This window comes from Homo sapiens, chromosome 5 (genome assembly GCF_000001405.40).
Source record: "Homo sapiens chromosome 5, GRCh38.p14 Primary Assembly".
NCBI lineage: Eukaryota > Metazoa > Chordata > Mammalia > Primates > Hominidae > Homo > Homo sapiens.
Genome location: NC_000005.10, coordinates 152,999,993 through 153,004,166, shown reverse-complemented (window position 1 = coordinate 153,004,166; position 4,174 = coordinate 152,999,993). Strand labels below are relative to the sequence as shown.

Below are 4,174 nucleotides of genomic sequence, written 5' to 3'. Positions count from 1 at the left end.
AGTATTGATTTGGGGGCTACAAATACCTTTTAGCATATAGGTAAACTTACAAATACGGAATCCATGAATATAAGGATTGACTGCATTTGGGAGCTGAGGTAGTACTTGAATGAAACCAGGAGTGCTGAACAGCTCTTTTGTTCTATCCTTCCCGCACCATCCTTTTTATTTTTCTGTGGCCACTCCTATTTCTTTAGCTCCAGCCAACATGGAAGTCTTCTACAATTTCAGAACGGGAGGTGAACACAAACTACCTCTGCTTTCAGGTTTTTCCACATTTCTAATACCTTTTTCTTCAGTATTTCTGCCCAGGGAAGATAAAGAGTCCACTTGTTTGACTGCTTGCTCTCCCAACTCCAATTCTCCTTAACTTTTTAACCCTTGCACATGGGATTGTCTTATCCCCCTCCCTTTTGTCATGGCTTTCTACTCTGTCTTTTCCTTTCCCTTCTGGCTTACACTTTCTCCTCCATCTTCTTAAGAATAAACACAGAAACAGAATCGTGGGAAAACATAATTTGAAAGAGAGGGGAGACATTGACTCAATATTTCCACATATTTTGTCATTTAAAGATCCTTTCATTTAGGTCGGGAATTGGCAAACTGAACCTTCAGCCAATTGGCAAATTATGAACCTTACACTGATTTTGTAAATAAAGTTTAATTGTAACTCAGCCACATCCATTTATTTATATATTGTCTGTGCCTGCTTTTACGAAGAACAGAGTAGTTGTGTAGGCTTCAAAGCTAAAAATACTATTTGGTCCTTTGCAGAAAATACTTGCTGACCCCTGATTTAGATGTACTAAATTTTTTTTTAGTTAGTTGTGTATGGGTAGATTTATATTTAGGTTTATTTCCAATTTTAAGCTACTGAAACAATTTTTCAGTGGGTATTTCTTTTTATATTTGGCATCTATGTGAGAGGAGATCCATAGGAAACTTGCTTGCATTGTAACCACTGGATTAAAGAAAGTGTGTATTTAAATTTTTGAGGAATATTCTGACATCTCCCAAAGTATTGTATCAATGTATTCATTTCATGTTGACATAAAATTTTTTAAATGTAATAATGTTACCTATCAGTCATACTGCTAATAATATATACACTCAGGCGTGGAATGCACTGATTACCACACAATTTTGCCAATAGTAGGTATCAGGAAATTTTAAAATATTTTACCAATTAAATGGGTGGAAAAATGGCAAGCCAGTTTTGAAATCTGCTTTTCTTCAAATAAAATTGAGGTTGAACATCTTTTCATGTTATTTGGCATATTTATATTTGCCTTTTCCCATTTCCCTATTTTCTCAATTGTCTCTTTAATTTCTGAGGGACTTAAAAAAATAATAAATAAAAAAATAAATAAATTACCCCCATTTTATTTCCTATTTTCACTGTTTTTGATTAGCATACCCCTTTAAGAATTTTTTCCATAAGAAATTTTAAATATGTAGTCAAGTTTATCAATATTTTCTTCTATGGTTTCTGGACAATTTATTCGTATTTTAGTTTGCTATAATGGTGTGTGGAGAATGGATGGAAAAATGATGGTATAATGAATGCAGGGAGTTAAGAAGCTGTTGCATTTATATATGTCAAAAATGGGAACCTTAATTCCTTCTCTCAGGGGATTTCCAATTTAAAAAATGAGCTTGTAATATGAACACGTGGCCAAAATGCTTACAACACAAGATAATGAATACAGATGCCAATCAAGTGGTACAGACAAGAAGAACCACGAAAATTCTAGGGAAGCTTCAGCACTGGAGCAGAACCTGAAATCATAATTCATGCCACTCCTCATAGCCTAAATTTGTGTGTACCATTCTCTCCTTAGACTGACAGCTTATTACTATATTAACACTGAATGACTGTCTTATTTATGTGCATCCCAAGAAACTTTTGCCATTTGGTAAACATAGAAACAGTACAAAGGTCAGGAACCAGATTATAGCCAGATAGAATTCCATACTACCACTGGTATGGTGGTATGAAGACAGTTCATACCATTAGGAGTATATTTACATCCTCATTATGGTGCCAGAGATCAGGGGGATTGTTTTTATTACAGTAGTCCTCCCTTACCCACAGTTTCACTCTCTGCAGTTTTAGTTACCCATTGGTCAAACACAGCCTGAAAATAATAAACAGAAAATTCTAGAAATAAGCAATTCATGAGTTTTAAATAGTGCATCATTCTGAATATTTTGAAGAAATATCCATTTCATCCAGAATGTGAATCATTCCTTGTCCAGCATACCCACAATGTAGATGCTCCCTGCCTGTTGGTCACTTAGTAGCTATCTTAGTCATCATGGCAACTGTCTCAGTATTGCACTGTTTGTATTCAAGTAATTTTTGTTTTACTTTATACTGGCTCCAAAGCACAAGAGTAGTAATGCTGGCAATTCAGATATGGCAAAGAGAAGCCATAATGTGCTATATTTAAGTGAAAAGGTGAAAGTTATTGGCTTAATAAGGAGATAAGAAGAAGAAAAAATATGTATGCTAAGGTTGGTAAGACCTACAGTAATAATGCATCTTCTATCCATGAAATTGTGTAGAAGGAAAAAGAAACTTGTGGTAGTTTTGCTGTTGCATTTCAGACTGTAAAAGTATGACCACAGTGAATGATATGTGCTTAAGTAAGATGGAAAGGCATTACATTTTTGAATGGAAGACCTAACCAGAAAATGTGTTCCAATCCATGGCAACATGTTACCAAAGAAAGCATTGAGTTTATACAAAGACTTCAGCAAGGGATCCTATGAAACAGCTGGCACCAAGCTATTTACTGTAAGTAAGGGATGCTTATACAGATTCAGGACTGACTAGGTTTGGACTGAGAAATAAAAGAATTTTATATGGATAAAATAAAACTGTAAAAGTTTATATTTCTCTGGAGAGACTGCATCTGCCTCTTCATCTCATCATGTGGGCATTTTGTCATCTCACATCACAAGAAGAAGGGAGAGTACAGTACACTAAGATATTAAAAGCATGGCAAAAATTGCAATTACTTTTTCATCAACCTAATACTTTGAGAGAGAAGGAGAGAGAGAGAGAAGCATACTAACAGACCACATTCGCATAACTTTTATTACAGTATATTGATTGATTTTGCTACTGTTAACCTCTTACTATTCCTAATTTATACATTAAACTGCATCATAACTATGTATGCATAGGAAAAAACATAGTAAATATGGGGTTTGGTAGTGTCTGTAGTTTCAGGCATTCACCGGGGGTCTTGGAACATATACTGTGTAGATAAGGCAAAACTAATATATTGTTACCATGACTGGAAACTCAAAATGAACTGGATAGAATTGAGATGGAAGTGTTAATTTTGAATAGGCTGAAATGTAGAATGGAGAAGGTTATATTAACAATAGAGGAGCAGGACTGCTTGGAGTTAGGAAACAGCTAGCTGATATGAAAATAAAAGCAGACTTGAATAGAAGCAGCATGAAAGGAAGAAGCATAAAATAAATCTGGACTGTGGTAGGTTATGGTCAGATTGTGGGGCCTTTGCTTATCAGTCTACTCATTTGAGACTCCATGTAAAAGCTCTTGGGACTTGGGCAGGGCAGTGGAGGTCACTGCTTTAGGAGGCAGTATAGTGTGGTGGTGAACATCTGGGCACTGGACTAGTAGTCTGGGATTGGGTTGTGGACTCTGGGGTTGGGTTTACAGACTCTGTTGCTTTGGGCAATTTATTTAATCTATGAAAGTTGGTTTCTGCATCCATGAAATGGTTACAGTAATGGTACTATCATCATAAGATTATTGTGAGAATTATGAGAAATATTATATATAAAATGCTTCTCTAGTTCTTAGTAAGACCTCAATAAGTATTAGTGATTATTGATGATGATAATTGTTATCAGTAGCCTTTTTGTGAAGAAGAAAATTTACTTCTATATTGAGAATCTATACGTTATCATATTATTATCTTACCACATGGCATTTTAATTTTTTTTTCAGATTTCTAAAATTGTGCCACTTGCTAACATAGCCTGAAGCCTCAAATATAATAAATGAACACTACTTAAAATATTAAGAATTTGAAACAACAGCCCCAAAATGTATAACAAGAATCATCTTATACATAACAATGAGGATTAAAAATAACTTTTCTGGCCAATCTGATGTAGATAGCTTGGTTTT

At 34.8% G+C, this 4,174-nt stretch overlaps 1 annotated feature.

The window, feature by feature from the left end:
* Positions 3,441 to 3,610: an enhancer, noted in NCBI's record as "experimental_83450 CRE fragment used in MPRA reporter constructs". NCBI's record gives its function as "activates a minimal promoter by MPRAs in K562 erythroleukemia cells, with activity observed for both the introgressed and non-introgressed 5:152380202 variant alleles {active_cell/tissue: K562}" and the evidence as "EXISTENCE:reporter gene assay evidence [ECO:0000049][PMID:34662402]".